At 43.4% G+C, this 18,649-nt stretch overlaps 1 protein-coding gene across 9 annotated transcripts in view, besides 1 other annotated feature; it reads left to right on the top strand.

Annotated features, from left to right (window-relative positions):
• Positions 1–18,649, top strand: part of TMEM132B (transmembrane protein 132B) — a 475,992-nt gene that overhangs the window by 180,648 nt on the left and 276,695 nt on the right. The gene's annotated exons all lie outside the window — the stretch shown is intronic.
• Positions 9,828–10,327: an enhancer, noted in NCBI's record as "H3K27ac hESC enhancer chr12:125861407-125861906 (GRCh37/hg19 assembly coordinates)". NCBI's record gives its function as "activates a minimal SCP1, AML or CMV promoter by ChIP-STARR-seq in naive H9 embryonic stem cells {active_cell/tissue: H9 hESC(naive)}" and the evidence as "EXISTENCE:reporter gene assay evidence [ECO:0000049][PMID:30033119]".

Raw genomic sequence — 18,649 nt, forward strand, 5'->3', positions numbered from 1 at the left:
TTTGTTTGCTGAGTTTTCATGGCTTTTTATTCATTAAGAGCGTATTTTCTTTTACATCACTGATGACAGTTGTAATTAGCAACTTTAAAATGCTCTTCTGGTAATTCTAACATCTGGGTCATCCTCAGGTTGGTTTCAGTTGATTGTCTTTTCACTCTGGAATGGGTCTCATTTTTAAAAATCTTCATATTTTGGACAATTTTTTATTGTATCTTGAATATTATGAATGCTAAGTTGTGAAGACTCTGGATTCTTATTTTTGATTTTCCAGTAAGTGTTGTTTCTTTTGTTTCAGCAGGCAATTAATTTTGTTGTAGTCAAACTGCAGATCTCTTTCTTGGATCATAAGTACAATCTCAGTATGGATCTTTTATCTTTAGCTGACATGCTTTGAGACTGATCTGCATATACAAGATTCAATATTCAACCAGAGATATTGACAGGTAGAATTTGAGCATTCTCTCTTTCTCTTCCATGACTCTCTCATCTCTCTTTAGCTGCCATCTTGGACTCAGTCCTGTGGTTCCCTACCTCCCAATCCCAACTGCATTTTTTTCCAGGTTGATGCTCTCTCTGCATCCTACAATAATAACTGCATTATTCTCCAGGCTAAATGTGACAAAAATGGGGGAAATTCTTCCTCAGAGTGGGTCTTCCTCTGAGTATGGACTCCCCTCCATGATCTTCCTGTTTTTGTTTACTCTCTAGTGCCTTTGGATAGCTACTTTAAAAATTATGTCTAGAGTTTACGTAGGACCAACTCTAGTATCTCACTCAACCATTACCAGAAATAGATTTAGTTCATTTATATTTAATGTAATTATTGATGTGGTTGGAATTAGGTCTGCTATTTTTTATTTTTCTCATCTTAGTTTTTTTCTTTATTCCTTCTTTCTTGATTAATCTATTGTGTTATCAAATATTAGTATTTGATTTTAATTAATCTATTGGCTTTTTAGCTATATCTCTTTGCATGTTTAAGTGATTGCTCTAGGGATCATAGTATATATCTTTAAATTTATCATCATCTAATTAGAGTTGACATGTTATTTCTCTAGGTAAGTATAGTTACTTTACCACAGTATAGTCCATTCTCCACATCTTTGTGCTATTTTCATATATTTGATATCTATATATGTTTTGTTTTGGCACTTTTAAGATGACAGATATTTTGTAGATGGTCTCTTAATTTGGGTTTGTCTGCTGTCTCCTCATGATTAGATTCAGGTTATGCATCTGTTGCATTAATGCCACAGAAATGATACTGTGTTCTTGTTGCATCCTATGAGGTTGTGCATAATTTTAATTTGTCTCATTACTGTTGAGGTTCACTTTAATTACATAATTAAGGTGGTATCTGCCAGTAGTTTCAACTGTGAAGTTACTGCTTTTCTCTTTGCCGTTAATAAGAATTTTGTGGGGTGTCACTATGTGATATTATGTACACATTCCACCCCTCATCAAATTTTTATTTATTCATTGTTTAATTTACATTTGTATGGAGTCATGATTTCCTTTTTTGCATGGATTTGCCCAGTGGGAGGCAGCAGTGGAAGACTAGGATGGGAAAAGGTAGAGAAAGTAGAGAACTTCCCTCTTGCTCTGCTTCCTGATATGTCTCTGTCAGAGGCTGCGTATCCTCCATAGCTTTGTTCCTATAGGACACATGCTCCTCAGGAATAGACCCTGCCAGGAATTTAGCTCCCACTGGATGGTCCTAGTTCCTGGGCTTTTAGGTAACAACATCTCTTCCCTGTGTCTTGCTTGGAAATACAATTTTTTTTTACATTCAATTTGTTCCATGACAGGAATAAAACATGTGAGGTGTTGTTCCTGTCATGATTTTTTTAAATTATACTTTAAGTTCTATGGTACATGTGCACAACGTGCAGGTTTGTTACATATGTATACATGTGCCATGTTGGTGTGCTGCACTCATTAACTCGTCATTTACATTAGGTATATCTCCTAATGCTATCCCTCCCCCCTCCCCCGGCCCCATGACAGGCCCCGGTGTGTGATGTTCCCCACCCTGTGTCCAGGTGTTCTCATTGTTCAATTCCCACCTATGAGTGAGAACATGTGGTGTTTGGTTTTCTGTACTTGCGATAGTTTGCTGAGAGTGATGGTTTCCAGCTTCATCCGTGTCCCTACAAAGGACATGAACTCATCCTTTTTTATGGCTGCATAGTATTCCATGGTGTACATGTGCCACATTTTCTTAATCTAGTCTATCACTGATGAACATTTGGGTTGGTTCCAAGTTTTTCCTATTGTGAATAGTGCTGCAGTAAACATACATGTGCATTTGTCTTTATAGCAGCATGATTTATAATCCTTTGGGTATATACCCAGTAATGGGATGGCTGGGTCAAATGGTAGGAAATACAAATTTAGGTGTGTTTGGCAGTTTGATAATAATAACTGAAGCCTTGGAAAGGATGAGATTTTTTTCAGTAAAAATCATGAGAAGAAAAAAGAGCTCTTGAATGAATCCTGAAGGACTCCAACATTTGATAGGTTGATAAATGACAAAGATGAGACTTAAAAATGTCAGCCAGAGAAGTGGAGAAACCAAGAGAATATGATATCACACAAGCCAGTGGAAGAGACTGAAAACCACAGAAAGTCAGCAGAGTTGAATCCTGCTGAGAGCTCAAGCAGGGGAAATGAAAATTATTCCTTGCATTTTTACCTATGGAGGTCATTGGTAACTTTAATAAGATATTTAATGGGCCGGGCGTGGTGGCTTATGCCAGTAATCCCAGCACTTTGGAAGGCGGAGGTGGCGGATCACCTGAGGTCAGGAGTTCGAGACCAGCCTGGCCAACATGGTGAAACCCTGTCTCTACTAAAAATACAAAAATCAGCCGGGTGTGGTGGTGGGCACCTGTAATCCCAGCTACTCGGGAGTCTGAGGTAGGAAAATCACTTGAACCAGTGAGGAGGAGGTTGCAGCGAGCCAAGATTGTGCCACTGCATTCCAACCTGGGCGACAGAGTGAGACTCCATCTCAAAAATAAAAAAGATATTGAATGAACTCCTGGAAATAAAAGCCAGACTGGAGGGGCTTGGGGATGAGTGATCTGTGAAGTTAATCCCTGTTGTGGCTTAAGATCGGCTGCATGTGGTAGGAACCCCAAAGAACACTGAGGTCACCAAGACAGGCATCTATTTAAGGAAAGGCAGGAATGTCCACAGGTAGGTATTGGTTTGGTGGATCAAGAATGTTAGAGTATCAAGGATTTTATGATTATGTTGTTCTTTCCCTCACTGTCACAAGATAGCCGCTGCAGTTGTAGTCATCACATCTATATTTCACTCAGAAGGGAGAAAGGAGAGAGAGGAGCAAAACATCACGTGCATCCAAGTCTGCCCTTCTTTAAGGAACATTCCTGGAATTGTCAACCAACATCTTTTGACTGTTGCTTAATAGCCAGAACTGTTCTCACAATCAAGGCCATCCTGTAGTGAGGTAGGGAATTGTAGGTATTTAACTGGGCATCTGGGCAGTCCCTTCTCCCCCCATCAGGGTTTTCCTTCTTTCTTTTTTAAATAGACATGGGGGTCTTGCTCTGTCACCCAGGCTGGTCTCTAACTTCTGGACTCAAGCAATCCTCCCGCGTCAGCCTCCCAAAGTGCTGGGATTATAGGCATGAGCTACCGCATCCGGCCAATTTCAGGGTTTTCTTGATAGGGAAGAAATGGGTAATGGATATTGGGTGAGTAATTAGCATTGTCTGACACATGTGAGTTGATGGAAACAGGAAAGGCAATGTCTTTCTACGTTGTTCCAATGTTTGACTGGTGTATTAGGGTTCTCTAGAGGGACAGAACTAATAGGATATATGGATATATGACAGGGAGTTTATGAAGGAGGATTGACTTGCAGATAGGCCATCTGCAAGCTGAGGAGCAAGGAAGCCAGTAGTGGCTTATTCTGAGTCCCAAAGCCTCAAAAGTAGGGAAGCTGATGGTGCAGCCTTCAGTCTGTGGCCAGAGGCCTGAGAGCTCCTGGGAAGTCACTGGTGTAAGTCCAAGAGTCCAAAAGCCAAAAATCCTGGAGTCTGATGTTCGAGGGTAGGAAGCATCCAGCACAGGAGACAGATGAAGGCCAGAAGCCTCAGCAAGTCAGCTCCTTCTACCTTCTGCATGCTTTCTCTAGCCACACTGGCAGCTGATTGGATGGTGACCACCCACATTGAGGGTGGGTCTTTCTGAGTCCATTGACTCTGACTCAAATGTTAATCTCTTCTAGCAACACCCAGAAACACCCAGATAGATGCAGAGACAATCCTTCAATCAAGTTGACGCTTAATATTAATCATCACAGCTGGGAAGAGACAGGGAGGAAGGAGGGCATCCGAGGGACCCGGGGTGTCAGGGGATTCTTTTCCCTAAAGCTGAGAGAAGCTTGTGCATGTTTAAGTTATAAAGTGATGCTCAGAGTCCCAGTGGTAATGTGGGGCTGCTTTCCAGGGGCTTGAAAACTCTCCTCTGTGTACCTTGTGGGTTTCCAGGACACAATTATGCAACCACCTTACTTTTTACCACCCACTTAAGAGTAACAGAGAATTTTATTTAAAAGAGAAGTATGTAATTGTGTTCACAGTAGATCTGCTCTGTGTAATTAGTTTGTGTGGAGCTAGTTCAGTTTGTCTGGTTGACATTTTGTCGACCAGTGACTTGTGCAGTAAATAATTATAGGGAAATTCAAGGGGAATTCAAAGGGACAGTATTAGCACTAATCAGAGATGCAAGCTGCACTTTGTGATCTTTTCGTCTTCACTAGCAGGGTATTGTTTGGTTAAGAATTTTGTCAGATTTTATTTTAATACCATAGAAGCATAGCATACCATTTATCTCTCTGTTAGCTCTATTAAAAATATGGCCTCTATCTCCATTATGTTTAAATTGACTGTCACTCACTTCGGTTAGACAGAATATTTCAGAAAAAATCACTAAAAACCAGGAAAGAAGCAAATGCATTGTGCCAACTGTAATTTTAAGGTTAGATATAATTTTTAATTGCATTTCTTCCTGTCTGTGTGGTCTAAATCCACAACACTTTTTGCAAGAAATTCAACATGTGCTTCTCTTTGGTTTTCGAGAATTTTATTCAAACTTGGAATCTAGCATTTATCCCAGCATATTTTAGCTAACTGAATTTGTGTCAGTCTCTTTGATTATGAGCTTCTTGCAGACAGGGATTGCTGACTTGGCGGAGCCTGTGTCCCCGGCTAGAACTGGCAGTTTGCTAGAGCTCATAAAGTATCCCTTGAGTGGAATTAAAGTTGAAATCCAGAATTAGCAAACTTGCCACTTACCTCCAGGATCCCCAAGTAGTGATTTTTCTTCACTTACAGCAATGCAGTTACATCTGCTACTTTAATAAATATATTGGCGGTTTTCCTCTCAATGGGAAATCAAAACCTCTTCCAGTTCTTATGCCCTATTGGGTTTAGCCAAAGGAGCTTTTTGCCTGCCCCTGGGATTGCAATGTCAGATCAATGTTAAGAGATGTTTTTCCAGTGGAAAGAGGTAGAAATAAGGACACCCATTTTGCACTAGTTAGGATTGACATTGGTGATACTTTACACAAAGTATTTGAAATTCTGATTGGGTTGGAAGTAGAAAGGCAGCTGGGAGGTAAAAAGTCCCCTTTCCTGCTACAAATGTGCAGTGGTCTTGACTGTGACCGAAGGCCACAGGGCCTGATGGGAATGAAGTGAGTAAAGGGCCAAGCTGCATGTTCATGACGGACCACCCACCCCACCGATGTCATCTCCCGCAGCGTTCTGGCCACACACACCGTCTTTTCTAGGCTCCTGGAACCCACCAAGCTTACTCCAGTCTCAGGGCATTTTCTTTGTTTCCTTTCCCTGGAATGCTCTTCCCTTACCTGCCTGCAGAGCTGGTCTCTCCTTGCCATTCATGGCTTACCTTGGATGTCCCCTTTTCCCCGACCATCCCTATGTGGTCCTCTTTGGCAATCCTGGCCCCATTATCCAGCTGATTTTCTTCAAAGCACTCATCGCCACCTGAAGTGAAGTTATTTATTTGTTCACTTATTTGTCATCTGTTTCCCCCACATTACAAGGTCAGCTCCATGCGGGCAGGGACATGTATCACCAGTGCCAAGAACTATATGTGGCATGTAGCTGGGACTCAGCAAATGGGAACCACACGCCTTTACATCTCGGATACAGCCATTCACTCATGTGGCTTGATGCCTGCCATGGGCTGAATTGTGTCCCCCAAAGTTCCTGTGTTGAAGCCCTAACCTCCAGGACCTCAAAATGTGACCGTATTTGGATATAGGGCCTTTAAAGAAGTCAACAAGTTAAAATGAGGTCATTAGGGTGGGCTTTAATCCGATACCTTCTGAGAAAAGGGAGATCCATGTGAAGACACAGGAAGATGATCATCTGCAAGCCAAGGAGAGGTCTCGGAAGAAACCAGCCATGCAAACACCTTCATCTTGGACTTCTGGCCTCCAGAACTGTGAGAAAGTAAATTTCTGCTGTTTAAGGCGCCCCCAGTCTACGGTACTTCGTATGGCAGCCCCAGCTTCCTTTAGCTTCCGTTACAAAGTACCATTGTAGTGCCCTGCAATGGAAAGTAATAAAGAGCCTTTAAAGCCATCAGCTATTAATTCAGAAGTTTCTTAATGTCCCTTACCCTTGTCCCCTCCCCTTTCTAACCTGTGTTTTCTGTTCTGTTTCATTATCAGTTTGAGTCTTTTAAGAGCACAGTTGTTTTTTGTTTTGTTTTGTTTTGAAACGGAGTTTCACTCTGTCTCCCAGGCAGGAGTTCAGTGGGGTGATCTTGGCTCACTGCAACCTCCGCCTCCTGGGTTCAAGTGATTCTCATGCCTCAGCCTCCCAGGTAGCTGGGATTACAGGCACGCACCACCAAGCCTGGCTAATTTTTCTATTTTTAGTAGAGACGGGCTTTTGCCATGTTAGCCAGACTGGTCTCGAACTCCTGGCCTCAAGTGAACTGTCTGCCTCAGCCTCCCAAAGTTCTGGGATTACAGGTGTGAGCCACCACATCCAGCCAAGAGCATAGGATTTTACTTTTGGGATGGATGTGTTTGTCGGTGCCACTCCTTGGCAGATGTGTGACACACAAGAATCTTGCTCTGCACTTTAGGGATGTTCCTCTTTAGGGATGTTCCTTTGGGATTGAAGCTATGAAGAACACTGTTAGTGCAAAAGGAAGGGTTATTACCAAGACCTCTGACTCTCTGAAGTCCTCTGTCTGGAGGCTCATTCTTCTTAGAGTGGAGATGGCTTTTCCATTTAAATTCTCCGTGGGCACAGGGAATTCTAAAGTATCTGGATTCTCATGGGAGTCTGTATAGTGCAGACCTCAACTCAGCTCACCCACAAACATGTTTTTTTTTGTTTTTCCTTTGTTTAGATATAGAAAGTGGCTGATTTTAACTAGTAATTAGACAGTCCCTTGAGTCCTGGATGTCTCCTGCCACAGTTGAAACGGTGAGGCTCACAGAGAGGGATTTCTTAAGGGTTTCTCTGGGGGTTTCAGCCAAGTCTTCCTAATGCATGTTTCATTGCAGAGATCCCTCTGCCCTGCACCCCCCGACCCCGCCCCGCCCCGGCTTCTCTATCTTTCTTGCCTAAACTTATTTCTGCTTGGCAACCTTGCATGTTGATCAACTTGTATCCCTTGGTGCTCACTAGCTAATTGCAATTATGTGCTGTTAGAGGAAACAGATAGAAAAAAGAGATCATCTGTGGCTCGAATGAGAAATGAGAAAGAGTGGATATTTCCAATGCTCCATACAGAAAAAAACCCTCAATTTTGGTGGCTTCATGTTGCAGAAAAATGTTGAGAGTTACATTTCATTTTGTAGCAGGGCTAGATTGCACAGCTGAAATCCATAAGATCAGATACAACATTTCCATCACTGAGCAGCTTAATAAAGCCCCTAATAGGATTTGCTGACCATAAGAACTGCAGACCAAGATACAGAAAGGTTTTATTTATTTGCCATCTGTATGTAAATTTTGCTATTATGGAAATTGTGTCAGAAATTGTACTGCAACTGGATAGCACACAATGTACTATAATATTTGAGCTCAGATACAAAAAGCAGCTAACCCTTTCGTGTGTGTATGCATATGAATAATCCAGCTCATTGTTGCTGTCTATAAGAAACTCAATCTCAGACTCAGAATCTAACCTGTGATCAAGGTGGATGGACTCATTTGAATATGCAACAGTCTCTAAAGACTCAGGAGATGGAGGCTGAGTTTTCAAGGGAAAAGAAGTGTCCGTGCCTTGCCATTTTATTAGCTGCTTTCAGGATCTAGTGCCAATCTGTCCTTCTTCAGTGATTCCCCAGGTGACAGCAAAGAGATACATTTTGTCGCTAAAGGACAAATGTTTTTGGAGTTATGTATAGCTAGTCATGGAGTGGAGGAACACCCATCTTTGCTTTTCATCTTGAAAGAAAGGAAACCAACATGAAAAAGTTACATCAGGATTCAGATATGTGATGTCAGCTACGTTACGTAATTAGTGAGTGTCCTGGATGGGCGAGCAAGTGGCTTATTCTGTGGCTGGTGGCTGCCGGCTCTCTTTGAGGTGCACACATCACACTCTGTCACACCCAGGTAGAAAGTTTGACTTACCACGGCTGCGTGTTTCCATAGTAACATGATGAGGGTTCAGAGAACGTGGTAAACCCACGTTAGTGAGACCAGCACATGAACTAAATCACCTTCTATATTCCTGTGAATTCTTCATTTTGTTACTTCCCTTTCTCTCCAATAGTTATCAGGTTCTGGAATGACTTTTGTCTTCAAGTCATCTTAGAGGCCACCTAAAATCAGTCTGCACTCACACCTTGGGAACCGCCAGGGAAGGGGAAAAATGGTTTCAGGTGATAACTCAGATGACTGTAGGTATTCCGGTACCACTTACTCTTGGTGCTGAGGTAGCACTGAATTACCTGTTGAGAGGTGGTTCCTGCTGCATCCTCTTTGTGTCCTGGTTAAGTCAAGGAGGTAGTGTCTGTCTGAGGCTCCAGTCTCTTGCACCCCCTAACCTCTTGCTAATCTCCTTGTCTGATGGCTTGTTTTTGTTTTAAATGAGAGCCCACATCCCAGGCTGGGAGGCTTTGGCAGGCAGCAGTGTCTGGCTACAATTCAATAACATTGTTTTTTTCCATTGTACTTATTTTAGGGTTTTCTTCTCTTTATGGAAATTGATATTGCTTTTTTTTTCCACTTCAAGTGCTGATATATTGCTTCCTCCCCAGATAAATTTGAGTAAGCCCAGTGAACAGACTTAAATAAAAATATTAAGTAATAATACAGATGGTACCCATGCTAAAGCAAAACAGAGTGACAGGGCACGGGATGCCTGAGGACTGGGAACGTTGGTTGACAGCAGGTGCCGCCTTAAGTGAGGCAGGAGACCAGCCCCGGTGGATGCTCATTTACACTCCTCCTGCCCAGCAGCTCCTCCAGTGGCTAGCTGCCTGGGCTCGGGGCTATTTAAACTCTTCCTGTCCTTGTTTCCTCATCTCAGAATGGGATAGCACCACTTCCCCACTTCCTGGAGGGATATGAGTCTAGAGGGAGTTTCCTGCAGGGGAGAAGCTCCCAGGTTGAGGGAGGGGTACAAAGAGAGCAAGTTCCCCCTTCCCCTTAAAAGGGCTGAGGCCGCCCTATGAAGCCCACTGTCTAAGGGGGAGCTGAGTGTGCCAGGCAGGGACCCTAGGATTCCGTGGCCATGGCACAGACTTTGGCACCTGAGCCAGTGCCCCCAGGCACATCACAGTGATCTGAAAGCAGATCTATGTGAAATAAATGCCTGCTCCAGTGTGGGGAGCAGGGAAGAAAACTGTGACTGGCCTTCCAGGTCATCCAGAACCCTCCCACGGTTTCTCCAAGCACGCTCTGGGACCACTGGCAGTGGGATCCCTTAGCGGGACAGGGCAGGCTGGTAAAATGCAGATCTCTTGGCCATATCCAGACCCACTCAGAGAGGCTCGCTGAGAGTGGGGCCAGCAGCCTGCGTTTCCCCAGTGCTGCTGCTATGCAGGTCTGCAAGCTGCTGTCTGTGCACTGCCTCTGAGGCACAGAACACCTGTGCAGGTGGGTAGTGGGGAACATGTGGTTACTGAGGGCTGATTTACTTCAGTTGATGGGGAACTGCTCCTAGGGGCATGAAATGGAGAGAGTTCCCAGAGCTGGGCTGAGACAGCAGGGACTTATCCTGAAGGTCAAGGAGCAGCTGAACCAAGGGGAGACCCAGAGAGGAAGCCCACATCAGAGGGCAGGGAACTTTGGATTGTGGGCTGGACTGGGGAGAAGGTGGAGGTGAAGTAGAGGTTGGGTAGCAAGACCTTGAGAACAAAGAGTGAGGTTGGGTGGTTAGGTTCAGAATTCCTAAATCTTGGACACTTCTCATGCATGTCGTGTGCCTCAGTACCCCCTGCTATAAAATGAGGGTAATGATGTCCCCTACTTGAGAGTGCTGTGGTGAGGAATACACAGGTTAATATGTGTTAATATGTGTAAGTAGCTCAGAACAGGGCCTGGCTCAGGGATCTAATTATTATTATTTTCCATGTTGTTATAATTTTTATTCCACTATATAGTTCTGATCTCTCTCATGGGACGTCTGAATATTTTCAAAGGATTCTCTTGGAGTTGGACAGATCCCTTAGGGAAGTGGAATGAACTGTTTTCTTTAAAGAGAATCTCTTTCTAGAGCCTGCAACTCTGGCTGCTTGCTATGGGTTCACTTAACAGCTATTCATGGAGCACCCACCCAGCTGGTGAGATTTAGGAGGCACCAAGGTGACTTGCATGGGGACCTTACTCACAAAATCTTAAGTTCTTTTGGGGATACAGCGCACACATACGGTCAGATGAGTTCATGTGAAGGGGGTTTCAAGAATGTTTTGAAAGCTAGGTATTTAGGGAGGCTGGACAAGGGGAGGTGTCACTTGATCTTGGCTGTTAGAAGTTGGTTAAATGAGGATATGGGAATGGGAGGGGAGAAGGCATTCTCACTCTGGTAGAGACGGTGACACTGAGTATGGAGTGATGGGCCGCCCAGCTGGGAGGGATGCTGGTGTTGGGGTCAGGAAGTAGGTGAGACCTGTACATTGAAATACCTGTGGATATAGGGTGGATCTCTTCCTTCGGCTTGTCACTAATTCCAGGAAACTGTGTGGTATCATGGAAAAAGCATGAACAATAAATCCAGGAAGACTGGTTCAGATCCCTATTCTGCCATGGACCAGCTGTGAGCTGATATCAGCTGGAGTGCATTTGACTGCACGTACCATCAAATCCAATGACAGTGCCTCAGTCAAGCAGGGCCTTAGTTTTCTCCCATAAGAAGAATTTACAAGTAAGTAGTCAAGGGTGGAGGTAGCTGTTCTCTGGGCCATCAAAGACTCAGGCTCTGCCTGGCTTCATCTTTAACCCACAGTTTTTATCTTCATGGCTGCTACACCTCTAGGAATCATGTCTGGATTCCAAGAAGCAAGATGGCAGCAGGGCAAGGGAAATAGACATGCACAGCTGGATGTGGCCTTTGCTGTAAGAAACACTTCGTTTTCCTAGAGCTCCCACCCAGAGCTACCTACTTGCATTTCATTGGCCAGAACTGTGCCATGGTCACTTCTAGCTGCAAGGGAGTCTTTGGAGGTGAATGTATTTAAGTGGACATTTCTGTCCCCACTCCTGCAAACAAGTTTATAGGTCAATAAGGTGAAAGGGGCAAGTTGACAATGGCCAAAGAGCAGTGTGTGCTGCTGCTGGCTTTCACTGAATCTTTAATGTCTCTGAGCCTCATTTGCTCATATGGGGAGAAGGACACTAGAACTGCCTGTTATTGTTGTTGGAGGTTTGAGTGAGGTCTCATGTGTATAGCCCCCACCCCCCTCAGTCCCCAGCATCTGGTGGTCTCTCTACAAAGCACCTATCACTGCCTTGCCTGTCTTGGGAAGAATGCAGCAGGTTGAAATGTGGATCTGCCTACCAAGCCTTCATTTTCAGGTTAAGGAACTCCCTATCAAGAATTTAATTGGAGCTTCCCTGCCTTTGGTAGGCAGAATAATAATGCTCCAAAGATGTCCAAGTCTTAATCACCAGAACCTGTGAATATGTTATGTTACATGGCAAGGGGGAATTGAGGTTGAAGATGGAATTTAGGCTTGATCAGCTGAGTTAAGGAGGGTATCCTGGGTTATCCAGGTGGAACCAGTGTAACCACAGGATCTTCAATGGGACGAGGGAAGCAGAAGTTCACAATCAAAGAGAGAGCACTGAATTCTACAGTGCTGGCTTTGAAGATGCAGGAAGGGGCCACAAGCCAAGGATGCAGCCAGCTTCTAGAAGCTGGAAAAAGCAAAAACCAACCAACCAACAAGCAACAGCAGATTCCAGGACAAACAAACAGAAAACCCCCCAAAATAAAGACAAAAAATGGATATTCTCCTTGGCCCTCCTGAAGGATCACAGCGCTGCTAACCCCTTGATTTTAGCTCATCTTGGATTTTTGAACTGTAGAATGATAAGACAATATATTTATGCTACTAAGCTTGTGGTGGTTTGTTACAGTAGCATTGGAAAATAATAGAGTCCCCTGACCAGTTAATCCAGAAAGTAGATGGATGGCTTTGCCATTGAGCAGAGCCCATCATGAAAGGGAGGCAGATTGAAAATGCATTTGAGCACCAGAATATTACATGTCCTGTGGAGTAAATGCTCCCAGCTCCAGAGCTGAGATTTTCCATCATGAATGAAGCAAGGACATTTCCAAGTGCTGCCACTACAGGTAGAGGTGTGTGGAATTGAGAGCTTTGAGAGATGAGGGTTTTTCAGATCACAACATTACATTCAGGGTAGATCTGTGAACTTCTATTTTGCTCCTGTCTCTCTGATTCAGCATTTATCTTCAATTTGGAAAGGAGAGAATACTGTGGTGCAGGAAAGAAATGGAGCTGAGGATGGATGCGTTCATTTCCTAGGGCTTTCATAACAAATTGCCACAAACTTGATGGCTTAAAATCATAGGGCTTTGTTCTCTCACAGTTTTGGAGATCAGAAGTCTGAAATCAAGGTGTGGGCAGGGTAGGTTCCTTCTTCTGAGGTTCTGAGGGAGAATATGTCCCCGTGGTTCTCTCCTAGCTTCTGGTGGTGGCTGGCAATTCTTGGAGATCCCTGGCTTGTGGTCACATTAGTCCAGTCTCTGCCTCTGTCTTCACATTGTCTTTCCTCCTGTGTGTCTCTTATAAGTACACTGGCCATTCGATTTGGGACTCACTGTAACCCAGGATGATTTCATCTTGAGATATTTACCTTGCTTACATGCACAAATAAGTTCATATTCACAGGTTCTGGATGGACATATATTTTGGGGGCCATCATTCAACCCACTGCAATGAGCAAGATGAGTGCATCCTTCCAGCCTCAGATGAATCACCTCCCACAGCACCAAGGAGTTTATGGATAGATTCCAAGCACGTCATTGGAGTGGGGCACGTGATCCCAAGCATGTGATTGGAGCATGGCATATGTTGGTGCTCGGTTCTCACCGTCAGATCCACTAGTTTCTCTTCCTTTTCCAAGGAGGCTGTCCCTGCAGGCTATGATTTCCAGTTACCCACAACTGGCTTCAGCTGATGGGAGGCACTGGTAGAAGATTGGAAGCAAGAGGAACGCAGCCCTCCCACCCATGGTGTCCATGGTAGCAGCCACATTTCTCCTGCTTAATGAGTCCTCTGTGGTTCCATTGTCCTTTGTGTGACCCTGATCCCTGGTTCTGAAAACATTACTTCCTTCTGTCCTTCTGGCCTAGGGGTGCTATCAGCTCCCTGCTGCACTAATCTCAGTTGGGCCTTCCAGATGCACATGAATGCACACCCTCTTCCCTGGATTAATTTTCCTGTTTTAAATGCTCAGAGTTGCTTCTGTCCTGGTCAGATGCTTAATGGTACAAGAGATACAGAGAGAGAAAGGAAGACACCAAATTTGTGTTGGCCTTGCTACTAAGCACACTATATGCATAAAACCAGCCTTAGCCCCATTCCAGCTCTGTGGAGTTACAGGCACGGTGTGTTGAGCCCCTGTGGTTGAGACACTGGGGATTTGATATTCCACACACCTTTCAACCTGCTGGTGGTCCAAGGCCCCACTCTCCCATAGACATCTCATGCTGTACAAGTGCACGCAAGCTGTGCATGTAGACACAAAGCAGACTCCTGACCAGGACCTGGGGCCCAGGTAGTTAATCTGGGAGGTGATACCAGAAAGCAGAAGTGAGAGGATGGGGAGAGTGAGACCAAGGAGGAAGATGAAGGGTCCCTGGGACGTCATACCACTGGGGTGCTCTCTTGGAACTGTGTACAAGGACCCTCAGAATTGTCCCTCAGGAAAATGGGGAGGCTAAAGAGTTTATCTATTGGCCTCCCTTCCCAATTGGTTGAAGGTTGATCTGGGTCAGTAACTTGGAGAAAACAGTGGAGAAGTCAAGACTGCCTTGGTGATAGCGCCTAGCTATGGCACATGGAACTGTCCATTCCAGTGGTTCTGAAATCAGGTGGGCTGAGGGGCAGCAGAGCAGTGCTTCACATGTGTCTACTACTGTGTGTGTGTGTGTGTGAATGTATGTATGTGTGTGAATGTACATATGTGTATGCATATGTGCGTTAGTGCACATGTATGTGTGTTCACGTAAATCAGGGACTGAATGGGGGCAGAGATCAGGGTCCCTCCTGCTGGTTGATCCACAGGTGATGTGCATAGGTTACTGGGGAAGATATTCTATGGATGCCAATGGGAAATGCAATTCTATGGGTGCCAGGTATACATGCTGTTTGGTGCCAGCTGAAGTGGAAGCTTGGAGGTGGGGTCTGGTGCTTCTGATCAGATGTTCTCTGTGGAGGTCTTGCCAATTACTTTCCCTGGATCTTAGCCCATTTCTGGGCTTGGGTTTCTAGGCCTCTCCTTCCTATTCTACGAGATGCCCAACATCCCTTTTAGAAATCTTCTCATAAGCTGGCCAGAAAGGATTTCTGTTGTTTGCACACAGGTAACTCTAACTTACATTCTTCCTTGACTGTTTGGCATTTTAGGTTACTATCACATGATTTTATGTCAAATATAAATCATTTCCATGGTGCACCCAGTATCTCCAGGCTCCTAAAGTGCAGACAAAAGTAGGATATGGTTCTTCTTTTCTTCGAAGGTAAGTGTGATTTCTCAGTGCAGTCATAGTAGCATCTCCATTTTTCTAGTAGGGGTCATGCAATTTTATCTTTTTCATTCCAAGAGATGGTCCTAGGATACAGAATGATGATTCTGAACAGGATGTTTGGTGTAAGAACACAAAGAAGGCATATTCTTACTGCCTTCTTAAGGAGCAGTGACAGGGGATGGTGGAAAGAGGAGAATTGTGGAGTTGGGTGTCTGAGCCTGGTTCTGACTCTTTATGACCTTGCTTGAGCCACTCCATTTCTCTGAGCCTCAGTCTCTTGATGACAGAACCATTAGACAAACTGAGATGTAAACAAGAAACAGAGGCCTTTGAAAAAGTTTAAAAAGTTTAAAAAGAGGCCTTTAAAAAGTGTAAAAGTCTGTGAAAGATGGGTGGTTTGATTGCTGTAATAATTTGATGCCAAGAAATTACATTAAACTCAGTTCAATAACATTGCTCTTGAAATGTGTTTTAGGGTTTAACCACTCATTGAATTATTCCAGATCGGGCTAACTTTGTAAAGTTGTGGGTGTTTTGCTTCTTAAAAATCTGTTTTCTCTGCTTGAAAACTCTTTGTTAATGGCTTTCCATTCTTGGTCACTCTGTGAATTGCTGGTGGTGGAGACATAGGAGACATAGACAGGTAAAGGTAGGGGTCCTGTGTTCCACAGAAGAGGGTTTTTTGACAACTGCAGATAGAGTTCTTTTTTAGCAGATTGATTCCTCCTCCAGATATGTTTTCTTTTCTTTCATCTGAGCTGTTGAGCAAACCCAACCTGGAGTGGGTTTCTCAGACTGTGGTACCAGCTGCTGTCATCTTAGCTGAATTGAACTGGACGGTGAGACGGCCTCTTGTTGTAGATAATTGCCTCTTTGATTTGTTGCTCAAAGACCCCCAGGGTGCAGCTGCAGGATTGCAGTAGAGTGTGAGGCTGACTGTGGAAGTCAGTGACAGCCCCAGTCATCTCTGAAGCTGGAGTTATTCATGGACCACCTTCGTGATTTGTGCTCGTAGCAACATACCACCCAAACTCTTTCCCCTTTACTATTTTAATTTTGATTGATACATATTTTTTGGGAAGTAAGTTTATCTTAAAAGAAAATTTTCTATCACTCACTAAGGTGGAAAATCAATCTGTTGATTTTCTAGTTTTATTTTTTCCTAGTACACATTAAAATAAATGCATAGCTATTACAGTAGTGGGTTTACTATCTAAACTCATATTACCTTGGCAACTTCTGACTTCAGGGACTGGGAAGTTGGCATTGTCTCTCTTCCATCAGACCTCATTATTTCTTCCATGTGTATGCATCATCATTACTACTGTTCAATCCCTATCTTCTTTAAGTCAGTGCATATTTTTACAAAGGCAAGTTTACCTAAAACAGAAACTTTTGTCTCTTCTTTTGAAAATGGAAAGCCAGCATCACTCATGATAAATAGATGGCAACTATAAATAATAAATATATACAAAGCTAAAGTTATTACATCCAAGCTAGATAGGCGAAGGCTCTAAAATGCCTTGACTTTGAGGCTTATTAGCTCTTTCTGTTAAAAGGGCAGATTTGCAAGTGTTAGAGAAGGTTGAAGAAATTAACAACTGCAACTTTCTACTTGATTTAATCAAAAGGGTTGAAAAAGATTAGAAACTCTCTGTATTTCTTTCTTTCTTTCTTTTTTTTAGATGGAGTCTCACTCCATCACCCAGGCTGGAGTGCAGTGGTGTGACCTCAGCTCATTGCAACCTCTGCCTCCTGGGTTCAAGCGATTCTCCTGCCTCAGCTTCCCAAGTAGCTGGGATTACAGGCGTGTGCCACCATGTCCGGCTAATTTTTGTATTTTTAGTAGAAATGGGGTTTCACCATGTTGGTCAGGCTGGTCTCAAACTCCTGACCTCAGGGTGATTGCCTCGGCCTCCTCAAGTGCTGGGATTACAGGCGTGAGCCATCACGCCCGGCTGAAACTCTCTGTATTTCTTTTATTCAATATTATTTAATGTTATATCCTTGTCATACCACCTAAAGTTTTCTCATGTACCCTTAGGGTATCTGTCCCATATTCTGAAAACACTTATTTCTATCAGTTAAATTTTTGTTTCTATGTTTTAAAATTTATTTTTTATTTAAAAATGTTTATTAAAAATCATTTGTATTTATGGGGTACAATGTGATGTTTTGCTATATGTTTAAAACATGGAATGATTAATTCAGATTAATAAATCCATCACCTCACATACTTATTTTTTGTGGTAAGAATATTTAAAATATACTTTTAGCAATTTTGAAGCATATAATGCATTATTATTTACTATAGCCATCATTCTATGCAGTAGATCACTAAAACTTATTCCTCTAGTCTAACTGAAAGTTTCTTCCTTGTTTTTTTGAGATGGAGTCTTACTCTGTCGCTCAGGCTGGAGTGCGGCAGCATGATCTCGGCTCACTGCAACCTCTGCCTCCGAAGTTCAAGCAATTCTCCTGCCTCAGCCTCCCAAGTAGCTGGGATTACAGGAGCGTGCTACCATGTCCGGCTAATTTTGTGTGTTTTTAGTAGAAATGGGGTTTCACCATGTTGGCTAGGCTGGTCTTGAACTCCAGACCTCAGGTGATCCACCTGCCTTGGCCTCCCAAAGTACTGGGATTACAGGCATGAGCCACCATGCCCAGCCATTTTCTACCCTTTGATCAACACCTCTCCTTTCCCCATCCTCTCAGCTCCCCCAGACCCTGATAACCATCATTCTACTCCCTACTTCTATGAATTCAACTTTGTACAATTCCACATAAAAGTGAGATCATGCTGCATTTGCCTCCATGTGCCTGACTTATTTTACTTAAAAAATTTAATGCTGGGCATTTAAAACAAGTTCCTAACATTTTAAAATTAGGCAAGATTGTTTTCTTTGATGTAGATTGTTTTCTTTTGCTCTCACAGCAAAAAAGATTAAAAAACTAGGCAAGATCAAAGTTTGTTTTTTTAATTTATTCCTGTTTCTTCTTGATAATATTTGAAGGGATAAAAAAAAACTGTGTGAGAGTTGGATATCTAGGGTTGGGGGACCTGTCTAGCATCTTTTTGCTCCTCTGATTTTGGGAGGAGGTTAGCTCCGCAGAGCCTCACCATGTCTCTTTGTTTCACATCGTGCCAAGGAGCTTGGCAGCTGGAGGCTGCCTTGTGGACCCTATTGTTGGAGGCGATCAATGCACCTTGGACTTTATGGCCAGAGGGAGCCTTTTTAGTGACAGAACTAAAATGTCCTAGGTCACATGAGAATAGATGCTGACAAAATTTGTGTTGGACAAAGACCTTATGTAACTCTCAGGCTTTAATTTCCCAAGGAAAATAACTTTATTATTGTCACTTTCATGTACTTTGTAAGTAGGTTTGGCAACTAAAAGA

The sequence above is a fragment of the Homo sapiens genome, chromosome 12, assembly GCF_000001405.40.
Source record: "Homo sapiens chromosome 12, GRCh38.p14 Primary Assembly".
NCBI classification, from domain to species: Eukaryota; Metazoa; Chordata; class Mammalia; order Primates; family Hominidae; genus Homo; species Homo sapiens.